The sequence below is a fragment of the Homo sapiens genome, chromosome 1 (assembly GCF_000001405.40).
Source record: "Homo sapiens chromosome 1, GRCh38.p14 Primary Assembly".
Lineage (NCBI taxonomy): Eukaryota > Metazoa > Chordata > Mammalia > Primates > Hominidae > Homo > Homo sapiens.
Window position 1 is genome coordinate 117,352,233 of NC_000001.11, and position 18,567 is coordinate 117,370,799.

The following is an 18,567-nucleotide window of genomic DNA, read 5'->3' on the forward strand; positions in this document are numbered from 1 at the left end:
AATTCTGTGTATTTTTAGTAGAGAGGGTTTTTTACCATGTTGGTCAGGCTGGTTTCAAACTGGTGATCCACCCGCCTCAGCCTCCCAAAGTGCTGGGATTATAGGCCTGAGCCACCGCACCTGGCCAGCCATTTCTTTTTCTTCTCTACTCTTCCTTTCAGTGTTTCCTTCCAGAACTTCTATTACACATATGTTGGAGCCACTCAATCTAACCCCAGGAATCTGAACTTTTCTTTCACATTTAAAAATCCCTTTATTTTTCTAAACTCTGTTCTGGGTGAATTCTTTTTTTTTTTATTTTTTTTATTTCACTATTGTTTCTTTTCTTTTTTTTATTATTATTATTATACTATAACTTTTAGGGTACATGTGCACAATGTGCAGGTTAGTTGCATATGTATACATGTGCCATGCTGCTGTGCTGCACCCATTAACTCATCATTTAGCATTAGGTATATCTCCTAATGCTATCCCTTCCCCCTCCCCCCACCCCACAACAGTCCCCAGAGTGTGATGTTCCCCTTCTTGTGTCCATGTGTTCTCATTGTTCAATTGCCATCTATGAGTGAGAACATGCGGTGTTTGTTTTTTTGTCCTTGCGATAGTTTACTGAGAATGATGATTTCCAATTTCATCCATGTCCCTACAAAGGACATGAACTCATCATTTTTTATGGCTGCATAGTATTCCATGGTGTATATGTGACACATTTTCTTAATCCAGTCTATCATTGTTGGACATTTGGGTTGGTTCCAGGTCTTTGCTATTGTGAATAGTGCCACAATAAACATACGTGTGCATGTGTCTTTATAGCAGCATGATTTACAGTCCTTTGGGTATATACCCAGTAATGGGATGGCTGGGTCAAATGGTATTTCTAGTTCTAGATCCCTGAGGAATTGCCACACTGACTTCCACAATGGTTGAACTAGTTTACAGTCCCACCAACAGTGTAAAAATGTTCCTATTTCTCCACATCCTCTCCAGCACCTGTTGTTTCCTGACTTTTTAATGATTGCCATTCTAACTGGTGTGAGATGGTATCTCATTGTGGTTTTGATTTGCATTTCTCTGATGGCCAATGATGATGAGCATTTTTTCATGTGTCTTTTGGCTGCATAAATGTCTTCTTTTGAGAAGTGTCTGTTCATATCCTTCGCCCACTTTTTGATGGGGTTGTTTGTTTTTTTCTTGTAAATTTGTTTGAGTTCATTGTAGATTCTGGATATTAGCCCTTTGTCAGATGAGTAGGTTGCGAAAATTTTCTCCCATTTTGTAGGTTGCTCATTCACTCTGACGGTAGTTTCTTTTGCTGTGCAGAAGCTCTTTAGTTTAATGAGATCCCATTTGTCAATTTTGGCTTTTGTTGCCATTGCTTTTTGTGTTTTAGACATGAAGTCCTTGCCCATGCCTATGTCCTGAATGGTAATGCCTAGGTTTTCTTCTAGGGTCTTTATGGTTTTAGGTCTAACATTTAAGTCTTTAATCCATCTTGAATTAATTTTTGTATAAGGTGTAAGGAAGGGATCCAGTTTCAGCTTTCTACATATGGCTAGCCAGTTTACCCAGCACCATTTATTAAATAGGGAATCTTTTCCCCATGTCTTGTTTTTCTCAGGTTTGTCGAAGATCAGATAGTTGTAGATATGCGGCGTTATTTCTGAGGGCTCTGTTCTGTTCCATTGATCTATATCTCTGTTTTGGTACCAGTACCATGTTGTTTTGGTTACTGTAGCCTTGTAGTATAGTTTGAAGTCAGGTAGCGTGATGCCTCCAGCTTTGTTCTTTTGGCTTAGGATTGACTTGGCGATGCGGGCTCTTTTTTGGTTCCATGTGAACTTTAAAGTAGTTTTTTCCAATTCTGTGAAGAAAGTCCCTGGTAGCTTGATGGGGATGGCATTGAATGTATAAATTACCTTGGGCAGTATGGCCATTTTCACAATATGGATTCTTCCTACCCATGAGCATGGAATGTTCTTCCATTTGTTTGTATCCTCTTTTATTTCATTGAGCAGTGGTTTGTAGTTCTCCTTGAAGAGGTCCTTCACGTCCCTTTTAAGTTGGATTCCTAAGTATTTTATTCTCTTTGAAGCAATTGTGAATGGGAGTTCACTCATGATTTGGCTCTCTGTTTGTCTGTTATTGGTGTATAAGAATGCTTGTGATTTTTGTACATTGATTTTGTATGCTGAGACTTTGCTGAAGTTGCTTATCAGCTTAAGGAGATTTTGGGCTGAGACAATGGGGTTTTCTAAATATACAATCATGTCGTCTGCAAACAGGGACAATTTGACTTCCTCTTTTCCTAATTGAATACCCTTTATTTCCTTCTCCTGCCTGATTGCCCTGGCCAGAACTTCCAACACTATGTTGAATTGGAATGGTGAAAGAGGGCATCCCTGTCTTGTGCCAGTTTTCAAAGGGAATGCTTCCAGTTTTTGCGCATTCAGTATGATATTGGCTGTGGGTTTGTCATAGATAGCTCTTATTATTTTGAGATACATCCCATCAATACCTAATTCATTGAGAGTTTTTAGCATGAAGGTTGTTGAATTTTGTCAAAGGCCTTTTCTGCATCTATTGAGATAATCATGTGGTTTTTGTCTTTGGTTCTCTTTACATGCTGGATTACATTTATTGCTTTGCGTATATTGAACCAGCCTTGCATCCCAGGGATGAAGCCCACTTGATCATGGTGGATAAGCTTTTTGATGTGCTGCTGGATTTGGTTTGCCAGTATTTTATTGAGGATTTTTGCATCAGTGTTCATCAAGGATGTTGGTCTAAAATTCTCTTTTTTGGTTGTGTCTCTGCCCGGCTTTGGTATAAGGATAATGCTGGCCTCATAAAATGAGTTAGGGAGGATTCCTTCTTTTTCTATTGATTGGAATAGTTTCAGAAGGAATGGTACCAGTTCCTCCTTGTACCTCTGGTAGAATTCGGCTGTGAATCCATCTGGTCCTGGACTCTTTTTTGTTGGTAAGCTATTGATTATTGCCACAATTTCAGATCCTGTTATTGGTCTATTCAGAGATTCAACTTCTTCCTGGTTTAGTCTTGGGAGAGTGTATGTGTCGAGGAATTTATCCATTTCTTCTAGATTTTCTAGTTTATTTGCATAGAGGGGTTTGTAGTATTCTCTGATGGTAGTTTGTATTTCTGTGGGATTGGTGGTGATATCCCCTTTATCATTTTTTATTGCGTCTATTTGATTCTTCTCTCTTTTTTTCTTCATTAGTCTTGCTAGCGGTCTATCAATTTTGTTGATCCTTTCAAAAAACCAGCTCCTGGATTCATTAATTTTTTGAAGGATTTTTTGTGTCTCTATTTCCTTCAGTTCTGCTCTGATCTTAGTTATTTCTTGCCTTCTGCTAGCTTTTGAATGTGTTTGCTCTTGCTTTTCTAGTTCTTTTAATTGTGATGTTAGGGTGTCAATTTTGGATCTTTCCTGCTTTCTCTTGTGGGCATTTAGTGCTATAAATTTCCCTCTATACACTGCTTTGAATGCATCCCAGAGATTCTGGTATGTTGTGTCTCTGTTCTCCTTGGTTTCAAAGAACATGTTTATTTCTGCCTTCATTTCATTATGTACCCAGTAGTCATTCAGGAGCAGGTTGTTTAGTTTCCATGTAGTTGAGCGGTTTTGAGTGAGTTTCTTAGTCCTGAATTCTAGTTTGATTGCACTGTGGTCTGAGAGACAGTTTGTTATAATTTCTGTTCTTTTACATTTGCTGAGGAGAGCTTTACTTCCAACTATGTGGTCAATTTTGGAATAGGTGTGGTGTGGTACTGAAAAAAATGTATATTCTGTTGATTTGGGGTGGAGAGTTCTGTAGATATCTATTAGGTCCGCTTGGTGCAGAGCTGAGTTCAATTCCTGGGTATCCTTGTTAACTTTCTGTCTTGTTGATCTGTCTAATGTTGACAGTGGGGTGTTAAAGTCTCCCATTATTATTGTGTGGGAGTCTAAGTCTCTTTGTAGGTCACTCAGGACTTGCTTTATGAATCTGGGTGCTCCTGTATTGGGTGCATATATATTTAGGATAGTTAGCTCTTCTTGTTGAATTCATCCCTTTACTATGTAATGGCCTTCTTTGTCTCTTTTGATCTTTGTTGGTTTAAAGTCTGTTTTATCAGAGACTAGGATTGCAACCCCTGCCTTTTTTTGTTTTCCATTTGCTTGGTAGATCTTCCTCCATCCTTTTATTTTGAGCCTATGTGTGTCTCTGCATGTGAGATGGGTTTCCTGAATACAGCACAGTGATGGGTCTTGACTCTTTATCCAATTTGCCAGTCTGTGTCTTTTAATTGGAGCATTTAGTCCATTTACATTTAAAGTTAATATTGTTATGTGTGAATTTGCTCCTGTCATTATGATGTTAGCTGGTTATTTTGCTTGTTAGTTGATGCAGTTTCTTCCTAGTCTTGATGGTCTTTACATTTTGGCATGATTTTGCAGCGGCTGGTACCGGTTGTGCCTTTCCATGTTTAGTGCTTCCTTCAGGAGCTCTTGTAGGGCAGGCCTGGTGGTGATAAAATCTCTCAGCATTTGCTTGTCTGTAAAGTATTTTATTTCTCCTTCACTTATGAAGCTTAGTTTGGCTGGATATGAAATTCTGGGTTGAAAATTCTTTTCTTTAAGAATGTTGAATATTGGCCCCCACTCTCATCTGGCTTGTAGAGTTTCTGCTGAGAGATCCGCTGTTAGTCTGATGGGCTTCCCTTTGTGGGTAACCCAACCTTTCTCTCTGGCTGCCCTTAACATTTTGTCCTTCATTTCAGCTTTGGTGAATCTGACAATTATGTGTCTTGGAGTTGCTCTTCTCGAGGAGTATCTTTGTGGTATTCTCTGTATTTCCTGAATCTGAATGTTGGCCTGCCTTGCTAGATTGGGGAAGTTCTCCTGGATAATATCCTGCAGAATGTTTTCCAACTTGGTTCCATTCTCCCCGTCACTTTCAGGTACACCAATCAGATGCAGATTTGGTCTTTTCACATAGTCCCATATTTCTTGGAGGCTTTGTTCGTTTCTTTTTATTCTTTTTTCTCTAAACTTCCCTTCTCACTTCATTTCATTCATTTCATCTTCCATCACTGATACGCTTTCTTCCAGTTGATTGCATTGGCTCCTGAGGCTTCTGCATTCTTCACGTAGTTCTCGAGCCTTGGCTTTCAGCTCCATCAGCTCCTTTAAGCACTTCTCTGTATTGGTTATTCCAGTTAGCCATTCGTCTAAATTTTTTTCAAAGTTTTCAACTTCTTTGCCTTTGGTTTGAATTTCCTCCTGTAGCTGGGAGTAGTTTGATCGTCTGAAGCCTTCTTCTCTCAACTCGTCAAAGTCATTCTCCATCCAGCTTTGTTCTGTTGCTGGTGAGGAACTGCGTTCCTTTGGAGGAGGAGAGGCGCTCTGCTTTTTAGAGTTTCCAGTTTTTCTGCTCTGTTTTTTCCCCATCTTTGTGGTTTTATCTACTTTTGGTCTTTGATGATGGTGATGTACAGATGGGTTTTTGGTGTGGATGTCCGTTCTGTTTGTTAGTTTTCCTTCTAACAGACAGAACCCTCAGCTGCAGGTCTGTTGGAGTTTGCTAGAGGTCCACTCCAGACCCTGTTTGCTTGGGTATCAGCAGCAGAGTCTGCAGAATCGGGGATTTTCGTGATCCGCGAATGCTGCTGTCTAATCGTTCCTCTGGAAGTTTTGTCTCAGAGGAGTACCTGGCCCTGTGAGGTGTCAGTCTGCCCCTACTGGGGGGTGCCTCCCAGTTAGGCTGCTTGGGGGTCAGGGGTCAGGGGTCAGGGACCCACTTGAGGAGGCAGTCTGCCTGTTCTCAGATCTCCAGCTGCGTGCTGGGAGAACCATTGCTCTCCTCAAAGCTGTCAGACAGGGACATTTAAGTCTGCAGAGGTTACTGCTGTCTTTTTGTTTGTCTGTGCCCTGCCCCCAGAGGTGGAGCCTACAGAGGCAGGCAGGCCTCCTTGAGCTGTGGTGGGCTCCACCCAGTTCAAGCTTCCTGGCTGCTGTGTTTACCTAAGCAAGCCTGGGCAATGGCGGGCGCCCCTCCTCCAGCCTTGCTGCCGCCTTGCAGTTTGATCTCAGACTGCTGTGCTAGCAATCAGTGAGACTCCGTGGGCGTAGGACCCTCCGAGCCAGGTGCGGAATATATTCTCCTGGTGCGCCATTTCCTAAGCTCGTTGGAAAAGCGCAGTATTCGGGTGGGAGTGGCCCGATTTTCCAGGTGCCGTTTGTCACCCCTTTCCTTGACCAGGAAAGGGACCTCCCTGATCCCTTGAGCTTCCCGAGTGAGGCAATGCCTCTCCTGCTTCGGCTGGCGCACGGTGTGCGGCACCCACTGTCCTGCACCCACTGTCTGGCACTCCCTAGTGAGATGAACCCGGTACGTCACATGGAAATGCAGAAATCACCCGTCTTCTGCGTCACTCACGCTGGGAGCTGTAGACCGGAGCTGTTCCTATTCGGCCATCTTGGCTCCTCCCGCTCTGGCTGAATTCTTTAGTACATCCCTTTAATTCACTACTTTTTCTCTTTGACTTTGATTAGCTCCATATATCTTTTGATTTCAATGACCATATTTTTATTTTTCAAATTTTTGTTAGTTCTTTCTCATATTTACCTGTTTTTTAATTCAGCCTGTATCTGTTCCTTAATTTCTTGTCCTTTCAAAATGGGTGCTATGCATCCATTTATTGCATATCAAATTCAAAAATATTTAATTTAAAAATATTTGCCAGATAGTTCCATAGAATTATTTTTATCTGGAGTAAATACATGCTCTGAGTGTCCGTTTTGTTGGCTAGCTTTCATAGTATTAGATATTTTTATGTGATTGAAACTTGGTGGTCAGGCTCATTTTGAGGGAACGTTTTTATTTGCTTTTTCCTGTTTTGTTTTAGTTTATTTTCTTTTTCTCACTCCTTCTGGGCTCACCTCCATGCTTAGTGATTTTACCTCCATGCTTAGTGATTTTGCCTCCATGTGTCTCCCCAGACCTCTATTCTAGAATTAGATCTAAAGCTGGCATCTTGATGCTCCTATTCCTAGTGATGCCACAGGCCAAATCACATGGCCAGCTGCTTGGCTTGGTTCCTGACTCCAAGGCTGTGCCTTTGTTCTTCTACTTTACCAGGTAGTGGGTTGGCAGCGGTTTATATGCAGCCTCCTTTCAGGAGTTCCTGGCTTCAAGCACTAAGTCTGGCTCCTGCCCTCAACTGAACCATCTGTAATTCCTTTCACCTTGCAGGAGACAATAATCTTGGCTTTTGAGCCTGAGACCACAGTGAGCTTGTAGCTCCAGGCTTGCTGAATGCTTTCTGTTTGGTTCCACTTTAGATCCATGAAAATGATCATTTTGTTCTTGAGCCTGGTTATGTCTTTTTGGTTTTCTCTATTTTTTAGCCATCATTTCTCTGTGTGTGGAGGAAAAGGAGTAGATGAAAGCATGGTGTTACTGCACCAAGTTGAGTAGACATATTTCTGTGTGTACTTCTCCATTTTCACCTCTCACCATCGCTACCTTACAATTTATGTTCTAGCCATAATGAACTACTTTCAGTTTCCAGAGGGTCAATAAATTGCATGCCTGTCTCCCAACCCCCAACTTTGGATGAAATAAGACAACAGACGAAAGTCATATAGAGACTTAAAAAAATTGATATCTATATTATATCTATCTACCCTTATGCTTCATTACAGATAAGCTAATAAAACTAGGTTATAGATCTGTAACCCAAAAGGGCTTGCCAACATTCTCTGCTGACTCTCGACCCCCACAGAATCTAGCCTTGGAACAGCCCACTAAAGGGGAAGTTTAGGTCTGCTGCCAAACATGTTTATCTAAGATCATTGTCTGCACTGATCTAGGGCAGAAAGGGAAAAAAAAGAATGAATTTATTAGATTAGTTCCATCCAGTCAAGAACTATGAGCTAATGAATGTAACAGTACTCACCAATCAAGTAACGCACTCCTGAGTGTGAAGAATAGTGGTATAAGAAAGCAGAACTAGCACTCCAGTAGAAATTCCCCTCTCCTCCCATGGAAACATGGTGCCAAGGGAGAGGAGGTTCCCTTAACACCTTAACACACAGGACATGCTCCTTCTCATTCCTCTAAGTCTTGTCTTTTTCTTTCCTTCCTTCCTTCCTCCCTCCCTCCTTTCTTCCTTCCCTCTCTGTCTCTTTTATTTTTATTTTTTGAGACAGAGTTTTGCTCTTGTTGCCCAGGCTGGAGTGCAATGGTGCAATCTTGGCTCACTGTAATCTCCGCCTCCCGGGTTCAAGAGATTCTACTGCCTCAGCCTCCTGAGTAGCTGGGATTACAGACGTGTGCCACCACGCCCGGCTAATTTTGTATTTTTAGTAGAGACGAGTTTTCTCCATGTTGGTCAGGCTGGTCTCGAACTCCCGACCTCAGGTGATCTGCCCACCTTGGCCTCTCAAAGTGCCGGAATTACAGGTGTGAGCCACCGCACCTGGCCCTTTTGTCTCTTTCTTTGGAGACAAGCTCTTGCCAGTTTGGAGTCCAGTGGTACCATCATAGCTCATGGCAGCCTTGAACTCCTGGGCTCAAGCTATGGGAGACGAGTTTCCCTTAACACATGCCATGCCCTTTCTCCTTCCTCTATTCCTTGTCCCCCCTCCCTTCTTCCCTTCCCTTCCCTCCTTCTCTTCCTTTCCCTCCTTTCCTTCCCTTCCCTCCTCCCCTACCCTTCCTTTCTCTTCCCTCTCTTTTATCTTTTGAGACAAGGACTTGCTCTATTACACCTTGAACTCCTGGGCTCAAGCTATCCTCCACCTCAGCTTCCTAAGCAGCTAGGACTACAGGCGCACACCACCGTGCCCAGCTAATTTTTAAATTTTTTTGTAGAGACACGGTCTCACCACATTTCCCAGGCTTCCAAAGCTGGGATTACGGGTGTGAGCCACCACACCTGGTCCCTGTAAGTATTTTCAAAGGCTCTTCCTTCCTCTCTTTATCTACCAACTCTTACTTTTTCTAATGCCTATAATAAAAACAATAGTTAATACTTATTGAATCCCAACTATGGGGGGAAGCACTATCACATACATTATTGAGTTTAATCCTCATAACAACCCTATGAGGTGTGTATTTTTATCCTGATTTTATGGATGAATAAATTAAGAACAAGTAAGATTTCCTTTGTTTCCAATATTATGCAAGTAAATGTCAGAGGCAAGATTAGGCCCAGGTTTCTCCAGCTCCAGAGCCCATGTTCTTTTCATCATATACAGCTGCTTCTCATGTTTTATTCATCTCTGGATGCCTAGAACACTGCATAACACCAACAGAGAGTGAGTGCTCAATAATAATGAATGAATGAATATATAAATCAATGAAACATATTCTCAAATTAGCTGCCTAGAATGGATTTAAAACAATTTTAATATAAGGATTTATAAAGAATTCCTAACCTCTTTTGGAGTCAAATTCCTTTTCATAAAGGTGGATATGAGGATCCAACTTGGAAGGTTTCTGTAGGGGTTGCTAGCTTTGATATACCTCTGCAGTCACATCTGTCCAGCCCTCCCAGTTTTAGGTTTTCTTTCCCTGGCCGACCACAGAGACATCTCTGCTGGTTTCATTCTGCTTTTGTCCCTGCCCAAGCTTGTTGCCTACCTGAAAGAGTAGGTTCCTTCTAGTCCCTGATCACTTATACTTGTAAAACTACTGAAGCTTCACATACTACTACCAGCCACAATACCTCCATGTAAAGACACACTGTGTATTAGTCAAGACTCTTGAATGTAAGCCACAGAAACTAATTCTGACTGAAAAAGAAATTTATAGACTTATACAACCGAGAAATTCAAAAGATGAAATAGCCTTAGATATACCTGGATTCAGAGAAGTAGATTTACAATGAGCCCAATGAAGTTTAAATTTCTGGGTTACTAATTGCTCGGTCCTGTCTTAGGCTCTGGGAGAGGTCCTAGCAACATGTATACATAATCATGTTTTTCTAAATCTTGTAAAAATAAAATATTTCAATCACGATTGGTTAAGATTGTGGTTTCTTTTCTACTCTGATTTCCTATCCGTCACACTGCTCCATTGGTCGCGTGGGTCGGGTGGTGGTGGTGTGGTCTCAGCATTACTAAGACATACTCACTTGTAATGGAATTCAGTTTAGCAAAATCCTTTTTTTTTTTTCCTGAAATGGAGTCTCACTGTGTCACCAGGCTGGAGTGCAGTGGCGCGATCTTGGCTCACTGCAATCTTTGCCTCCCGGGTTCAAGCGATTCTTCTGCCTCAGCCTCCTGAGTAGCTGGGATTACAGGCGCTCGCCACCACACCCAGCTAATTTTTGTATTTTTAGTAGAGACGGGTTTTCACCAGGCTGGCCATGATGGTCTTAATCTCCTGACCTCATGATCCACCTGCCTCGGCCTCCCAAAGTGTTGGGATTACAGGTGTGAGCCACCACACCCGCCCTAAAATCCACTTTAATAATTCATTTTGTATTATTTTTCTTAAAGAGGACTCCTCAAATTAGGTATGCTTCCAGCCCCACAAGACCCAGATCCACCCTTACCAAGGGCTCAAGTGATACCATGTAGATACTTTCTCTCTCACTGTTTCAGCTCTTTTCTTCTCTGTTTGCTTCATTAGTAGCAAACTTCCTCACATGGTGGCAAGAAGGCCACTGGCAGCTCTAAGGTTATAGCACGCTCAGGGCTGGGAATTCTAAGGTAAAGAGATACCACTTTTGCTGATGACATCAGGAAATGACCTAAGGAGGGTTTGGATTAGCTTGGTTTGTGTCACTTGCCCTTTTCCAAACCAATCATTATGGCCAGGGAAATGTGGAACACAGGTTAGTCAAATCTGGGTAACATTCCTGGATCTAGTTAATGGTGGGAGCAAGTGCTATAGTGGGTGGTTGAGAGGTCATCCCAATCTAGACCAATAGACTAAGACCGGGGAAAAGATAGTTTTCTAAAGGAATGCTAGACAAACTGGAATTTCATGTTTCCAAGTCACACAAACACAACCATCAGCAACCTATTATTCTGAATAGAACAAACAAGTCTTTAGAGCATTTTAGAAACAATAGCTCATTTGATCCTTAAACAGTCCTATAAAATAGGTAAGGACTATTATGTTTTATAAATAAGGAAACTCAGTAAGGAGTAGAGCTAGGTTTGAAATCCATGTCTTTTGACTCCTAGTTCAGTACCTCATATACATTTAAAGGGCTTCACTTTATTAATGGATTTAAAGAGGTGAAACATTGCCTGAAACAAGAGGGTACTGCCTGTGAAAGCACGAATACCATCTATGTCTTTTCATTACAGAAACATGTTGGCAATACCCATTAGTCATTCTGAACCCATTTTATTTGCAATGCAATAGCACTGCCCCACCATTTTCACTTTCCCAGCTCAAGAGTGTTGTGAGATTAGGGCCAGGCAAGCTATTTACTGGACGAGTAGAGCAGGAAGTGTTCTGCGTAAATGGCAGGAAAAACCAGCTATGGGTGCCTGCGCATGCTCTGCTCCCTAGGCTGGAGCACGACCCTTCTCTTATGGTTCAAGGCTCAGCTCAGGTGACACTGGATTGGGGAACTTTCCCTAACTTTCCCAATCCACCTCCTCTCACTCTGTGGCACCTTCAGTGTTCCCATAAAGCCCGTGACACTTTGCTCCAACAGCATTCTTCCCACTGTCTTGTAATCGTCAGTGTTCATCTACTCCTCCACACTAGACTGCAAGCTCACTGAGCATAAGGATTCTGACTTATTTCTCCAAATCTCCAGCACCTAGTACAGGATTTGTCAAATAGTAGTCCTCCAACAAATGAGTCTTTTATAAGCAAATGAGCCTCACGTACTTTGGCTCAGAGAAGCAGCCAAGATTTTTTGGCTTTGCCGACTTTCACGGATCTTACTTGAGGGCTTCACAGCACTGAACTTCAGTTTATCCCTGACCTCTGAGGAAAATGCCTCATAGAGGAAAGCAAGATTGGAAGGAGCAAGGCTGAAGCCTGTTATTTCCCTACACATTCAGTGGTCACGTCGAGTAATTTCTCCTCCAATATCTTCCTTGTACATTTTGGGCACCAGTTGGAACAGGTTACATAAGTAAATCAAAAGCCTCTTTTTGCATACCAGCTTTTATTTTTTTCCTGTAGCACTTCAGTTTCACTTAAAACAGAGCTAGGGGTGTATGTGTGTGTGTGTGTGTGTGTGTGTGCATGCGTGTGTGTATAACAGGTGTGAAATGGTTTCAATAATAGAAAAGTCAACACATGGTTGAACAAATACAAGTAACTTCCACATTGCAATACGAGTGGATCTTAGGAGTGGTCCTGTAAATCTGCAGGAGTAAATTTTGTTAGTAATTTATTAATTCTAATTTCTAAAATATTAATTTATATGGATTTGTAAAAGGGAAATCATCACTTTGGAATCTCTGATCAAAGGGTAACTACTCTTTGAAAATGAAATATTCTTTTTAGACTCTCTGGAATGAAATCCTTCCCTGTTGTACGTGTACACACACATACACACATACATAGAACAGGCTGCATACTGTTTCTGCCGATTGCCTTCAGATGGGCCGGTCTGTGTGTTCATCTTGATACTACCGAGTCTACCTATTTGAAATTTGACCTTAACTTTTTCAGGCACCAGTTCCTTTATAATTTTTATTTAATTGTAAATATAATGCAACAGAATACAATGGAGAAAATCATACGTAAAACCAGTATCTTAACAGAATAGTTGCAATCTTTTTCAAATATTCTTTTTCTATGTTTTTAAGTGCATATAATTATAATTAATGGATACATTTGCAACTTTTTTTTTTTTAAACAACATGATTCTTTAAAAACTCAGACTTGCCTTTAGAAGAGTGGATATATGTAATACTATGTATACAGTATTTTCATTGCTGGTGTAGGAGTGTGATAACTGACGGTATCATCAATGACTTTAAAATTGCTGGCTGCATTTGGACATCTGCAATAACCCCTAAATTGTTTTTACTCTCATGAAGGAAAAATGAATTTTGCAAAACAGACAAGCAAAGGAAAAGGGGTCTTCTCCATCAGCAATGAGGTCTTACTTGCTTAAGCTATACTTGTCAACTAGGTTATGTCAGGTTTCATGATTGAAATCTCTTGTGGTTAAGTCTAGTGTTAACCTAGGTAATATTTATTTTTCAAGATTTATATAACTTGCTATTTCATTCAGAGTTCAGTATTTATTTCCCCTGAACTTTTCATGGAAACTAATGATCTCAACAGTAGGAAAACAGTGTGTTCTTCCCCGCCTCCCCACCGCCCCCCCCACTTTGGCTTACGGAGTCTCAACATTAGAGACTTATTCTTAAATTTGGCACATTTTATAAAGACATATTGGGAAGGCTAAAAGTTTCTTATATCTACTCTTCACAAATGTTCAACATAAATCTCACTAGGGACCGGGCACTCCTTGCTTACCAGTCTCCCTGGGTGAACTGGTGAGAGGTGGCCCTCAATATTTTTACTTTTTATTTGGTGAAGCAGGATCAATGACAATGACTTTTGTCATGTGGTAGGCAGTTAGATATGCAGAGCTTCTAGAAATAATGCAGACTGGGAGACTGGAATGTAGTTACAAGTGTGCCAATGAACATGAGACTTTTCTGCTTGATTTTTAAGCTAAGGCTGACTTACTCTCCTGACATTTAAGGGCCTCCTCTCCAATTCCCAGTCATCAGTAAAGGATGTGTACAGGGAATGACAATATTAGAACAAAAACAACCTGCAAGTAAATCGGATGCAAGAGTCTATGTATCTTGCAAGGAAATCTTTTGCACTTAATCACAACATGGCTCTCCTCAATACTACGGAGAACAGAATTGATTCAGATTGTTTTTAAGCCTGAACGTAAACAATATTGTCGCCTTTTTGGGTTTCAGCACCTCCTTATTCATCCATTTTCTCTTTTATGGGAAGGGGGTTGATGAGGTGTGTGAAGATGATAGAACGTGCCCCAGAAACTGAACAATGAAGAGACGCCTGTCATATCGGGGGTACCTAGATTCCTCTGAAAGGAAGCCCAGCTGAAGGAGCAGGGTCACCACTTTATTTTAAAAACGTAACATGGCACATGTTGGTGCTCTATTAATCGAGCCTCGGGGGCCCAATAACGTGAGCATGGGCTGCTGCGTGGAAGTTTGAGACCCTGTTGCTGAATCCTCGGGCCTGACGGTCTATCGCTGAAGACAAGACTTCCAAAGAATCACAGTAAACGTTAACCTAAGCCATCAGAAGCCATTAACTCCGGTGACACTACATTTCAGCGAAACCTTCGCGACCCAACCCCTCGCTCCCTCTCGCCCAAACGCTGGGTCAACCCCACGAACTGGCGGTGGCAAGGCCCTGGGCACCGGTGAAGTTCTCGTGGCAGCGCAGATCGGCGACCTTCTCTTCTTTCGCGCTCAGACGGCGGCGGCAGCAGTACGCTTTCGGGCTGCTGGAGCCGGCAGCGGCGCGAGGCCGGAGCCCGGGCAGCCAGGCTGGGTGGGGGAGGGGCGGCGGCAGCGGAGCCGGGAGCGTGCGCGCGCACCTCACACTCCGCCGCCCGGGGACGCCCACTCGCGAGCCGGGGCCGGTAGGCCGGCCCGGGTCCCATCGCCCCCGCCCTCCGGTTCCTCTCCGGCGTGAGCCCAACGGGTGTCGGCCCAGCAGCTGCTGCGCTCACCAGGCCTGGGGAGGCAGGGTACGGGGACCGGGCCGCAGCCCCGAGCGGCGTGGGCGCGCTGCCTCTCTGGCAGCCGCCGCCAGAGCCAGCAGCTGCGAGCCACCGGAGGCGGCGCGGAGGAGGCCCCCGCGGCCGGGCAGGAAGGAGACGCGGCCGACCTCTGCCCGCCCGAGGCGCGGCTGCTCCCGCGCGCCCAGGCCCTCCCGCCGCTCCAGGGCTGAGTGAGGAATGAGCCGGCGCCTACCCCGGGCTCTCGGAGCGTGGGCCCCGGCTCGGCTTCTTAGGCGCGAGGGCTCGGCCACTGCGGCCGGCGGCCTAGCTCGGGGAGCAGGCGCCGGGGTTCACTGAACCGGCCGCGGAGAGGAGGAGGAGGAGGAGGAAGAGGAGGAGGAGGAGGAGGAGGAGCTCGGCGGGGGCGGCCGCCGCGCCTCCCCTCCCCCAGGACACGCCGGGGCTTCTCAGTGGCCGCCGGAGGAGGAAGTTCCGCTCCCTGACAGACCCGTGCGGTAGCAACAGCGGCGGCGGCCGCGGCGGCTGGCCGGACTCAGGTGTTTCGGACGCTATTGCCCTTCGCGCCAGCCGTCGAGTGGGCAGCAGCGGGACTCAGCCGGGCGCCAGGTTCCTGCCAGGCAGCGCCGGGAAGCGCGGGCGGCCGAGAACTCCTTCCTGCTACTTCGCCCAGCGCCGCTGCTTCGGCTTCCCAGCGAAGTGGGAGACCTTCCTCCCTGTTTGCAGACGTCCGTGGGAGACCCTTATTTTTTCCACCGCTAAGGTTAAGAGATTCTGGAATAGAAGCGTCGAAGGAGATCAAGTGAACCTTCTACAACTCCTCGGATGTCGCCAGTCTCCCTTTCGGGGCGGAAGACTACGTTTGAGCATCTCACTGAGGTGCAGGAATGGAAGAACCCACCTTGCAGCTTTTCTGCAGTGTGGCTTGCCTGATCTACCCCTAGGAATGAAGAGGAGGCTTGTAATAATCCGATGAAGTACAGATGTTGAAGAGGATATCGCAGGACCTAAACTTGTGATCGTTTGGGGGAGGTCACACACGTTTCTGAGTGGGAATGGATGGGCGTGAATGACGTGCCCTCTTAAAAAGCACAACAGTCCTTTAAGAGGAGCAAAATTGAGTTTTCCCATTTTGGCCAAGATTTTGAAGACAGTTCAATGTATTCTACATTTGACATAAGATGAGAACTTTCTAAAGTATTCTCTCCAAGAGCGTAAACGATGACTACCCCAGCCCTGCTGCCCCTCTCTGGACGTAGGATACCACCTCTGAACCTGGGGCCGCCTTCCTTCCCACATCACAGGGCTACCTTGAGACTTTCTGAGAAGTTTATTCTTCTCCTTATTCTTAGTGCCTTCATCACTCTGTGTTTTGGGGCATTCTTTTTCCTTCCAGACTCTTCAAAACACAAACGCTTTGATTTGGGTTTAGAAGATGTGTTAATTCCACATGTAGATGCCGGTAAAGGGGCTAAAAACCCCGGAGTCTTCCTGATCCATGGACCCGATGAACATAGACACAGGTTTGTTTATTTCAGAAGTTCTGGTACTAACATTTGGCAGAGCAAGGTACGGTGATTGGATCGAATCTGTCTTTTTTTTTTCTTGCAGTAAAATGTAATTTTTCGAGTCATAAATATTGTATTGTTACTTCAAGACTGGCTGAATAAAACCATAGACTGGAGGGACTCTACCTCCAGTCTATGGTAGAGTCCATAGACTGGTAGGACTGGAGTCCTACCTAAGTCGTTCTTCTCTTCGGTTTTATATAAGAAAAACATTTGCGTTCAGAGTTGTGTCTAATGTGGACATCTGGGAAGGGAGGTATGAAAACTTAACCTAAAGAAATGGTGACATAAGCTGTGCCTGCATTTATTAATAACGTGTTGGAGTCAGTCATTGTGCCACCATGTGAAATCAAAGCATCGAACCTTGACAGCTCTTTTGGGTGTGCTCTCCCAGAGGGCTCTCGTTTTCTGGCTTGTAGTTGAAGCTTAGTAGTGAGTCAGCTTTTTAGGATGACAAACGTGGGCAGAATATACCTGTCATTTCTTAACGTGAAAATATCCTGATTTTTGTTCTTTTTTTGGGGATGTGTGTTGGTGCTGTATATGAAATCAGTTAAGTTAAAAGGTATTGAATCCTAAGTTATTGCACTTTGTGAGGCTTGTAGACAAGATTTATTTTTGTGAAACTTAATTTTGCTCTCTCTTTTAATGTAATAGATGGACTGTGTCAAGCAACTATTGGAATTTGGTTGATTAAGGGGTTCACATTCTTTCAGATCACTAAATCTAAAGTGAGCTCTGGGGAGAGCATAGCCAAACTAGGATAAAATGGGAGCTCTAGTTACAATTTTTATAATTTTTATATTTGTACTCAAGAGTTTGGGAAAGTAGTTGACTTTTCTTAAACCTGCCATCTTTTCCTTGTTTCTTAAAATAATTCTTGAGTATGTGGGAAAAAAAATCATGTGCTTGAATTCATTTCCCATCTGATGATAGTTTTAACTTTTTGTCAAGCACCGAAAAAGCTTAGGTTCACGTGTAAGCCTACATTAAATATTTGGGAAAATGCACTGTTTTATGAGAACTGGTTTTTCTTTTTTTCTCAACCTAGTTAATTCATTACTTGTGTGATGGTTCTTTGACTTTTGGATGAATTTTATGGAGTAGTTACTTCTAATATTGTTTCATGCCATTCTTTTGTAACTAAGTTAATTTGGAATTTTTGCCATTTTCGACTACTGTACTCCTGTATTTGTTTCTTTAATTTTGCACTTTGCTTGTTGTGACTTTAAGAAAACACTAATATGATCTGTGAAATATGTTACTGAAAAATTAACGGTGAAAGTAGTTTTCCTTGAAAATCTTATTTCGCATGGTATTTGTATAACATATGAAATATATTGAAAAAATGTGTTAAGGCTGTTTTTAGAGCTGTTTCACAACAGCCACACATTAACATTACTTAGCTCTATTATTAATAGTATCTGTCATGTACTAAGCAGTTTAAAAAATACATTTTGAATGGTCTAAAAGTTTAAAATAATATGACCACATTTTAGTTTAAAAACATTTACACAAAAATTCTCAGTAAATGGAGTTAAAATATGAAATTTGAATGAAAATACAGATATGTGCCTTTTATTCACATTTTTAACAGTCTGTATAAATAGTTTAAACAAGAATTCTTAAATTTATGAAGCCCTTGGATATATATGCATATGTATTTAGCTATCTAAAACTATTGGGTTCCTGAGTTTGGAATGAGAGATTGGTTATTGTTCTGATAGCAGGGGTGGTTTGTGAGCCATGCCCTGAGTTTTGGCTAGTAAGAGTCTGGATAGCAAGTGATACATGTGAGTCTGGATAGATTCCAATGCAGTTTTTGGAATCTATTCGGTTCCTGAGTTTTGGAAAACGAGAATTCAAATAGAGTTCAGGTGGCAAAGGATCCTTGTGTTATCTCTTTGTATTTCTGTGGTTATATCAGTTGACATTTGCTTTAGCGTATTATTTGCTGTTGTTTACTATATCAGAAAAGAGTCTGTAGTAATAAACTTTCTTTTACTTTGAGCAAGGAAATACTTTTTAAATTAAGTGTATGTTTAAAATGTGGAAACAGAAAACATCAAATGTATAAACATTAACTTATTTAAAAATAATTCAGAAAAATAGCACTTTTACAGTTGGTACTAAGATCATATGTATTTTGGGTATGGGTCAGAACTTACCTAATTTAGAAGAAACAAATTGACAGTTTATCTTCATTTAGTGTGTGTGTGTGTGTGTGTGTGTGTGTGTAAGGGTACAGGATAGAGGGCTGAGGAATGTT

At 42.7% G+C, this 18,567-nt stretch overlaps 1 protein-coding gene across 4 annotated transcripts in view, besides 4 other annotated features; it reads left to right on the plus strand.

Annotated features, from left to right (window-relative positions):
* Window positions 5,565-6,206: an enhancer, noted in NCBI's record as "H3K27ac-H3K4me1 hESC enhancer chr1:117900419-117901060 (GRCh37/hg19 assembly coordinates)". NCBI's record gives its function as "activates a minimal SCP1, AML or CMV promoter by ChIP-STARR-seq in primed H9 embryonic stem cells {active_cell/tissue: H9 hESC(primed)}" and the evidence as "EXISTENCE:reporter gene assay evidence [ECO:0000049][PMID:30033119]".
* Window positions 11,473-11,532: a silencer, noted in NCBI's record as "silent region_1238". NCBI's record gives its function as "represses an Ori minimal core promoter by ATAC-STARR-seq in GM12878 lymphoblastoid cells {active_cell/tissue: GM12878}" and the evidence as "EXISTENCE:reporter gene assay evidence [ECO:0000049][PMID:35858748]".
* Window positions 14,453-15,272: a silencer, noted in NCBI's record as "silent region_1239". NCBI's record gives its function as "represses an Ori minimal core promoter by ATAC-STARR-seq in GM12878 lymphoblastoid cells {active_cell/tissue: GM12878}" and the evidence as "EXISTENCE:reporter gene assay evidence [ECO:0000049][PMID:35858748]".
* Window positions 15,217-18,567, plus strand: part of MAN1A2 (mannosidase alpha class 1A member 2) — a 161,424-nt gene continuing 158,073 nt past the window's right edge. For all 4 annotated transcript variants that reach the window (NM_006699.5, XM_006710302.4, XM_011540536.4 and 1 more), the window contains exon 1: window positions 15,217-16,253. In NM_006699.5, coding sequence (NP_006690.1) covers window positions 15,952-16,253 — 302 coding nt within the window. In that variant the 5' untranslated portion in view covers window positions 15,217-15,951. The remainder of the gene's footprint in view (window positions 16,254-18,567) is intronic.
* Window positions 16,143-16,282: an enhancer, noted in NCBI's record as "active region_1581". NCBI's record gives its function as "activates an Ori minimal core promoter by ATAC-STARR-seq in GM12878 lymphoblastoid cells {active_cell/tissue: GM12878}" and the evidence as "EXISTENCE:reporter gene assay evidence [ECO:0000049][PMID:35858748]".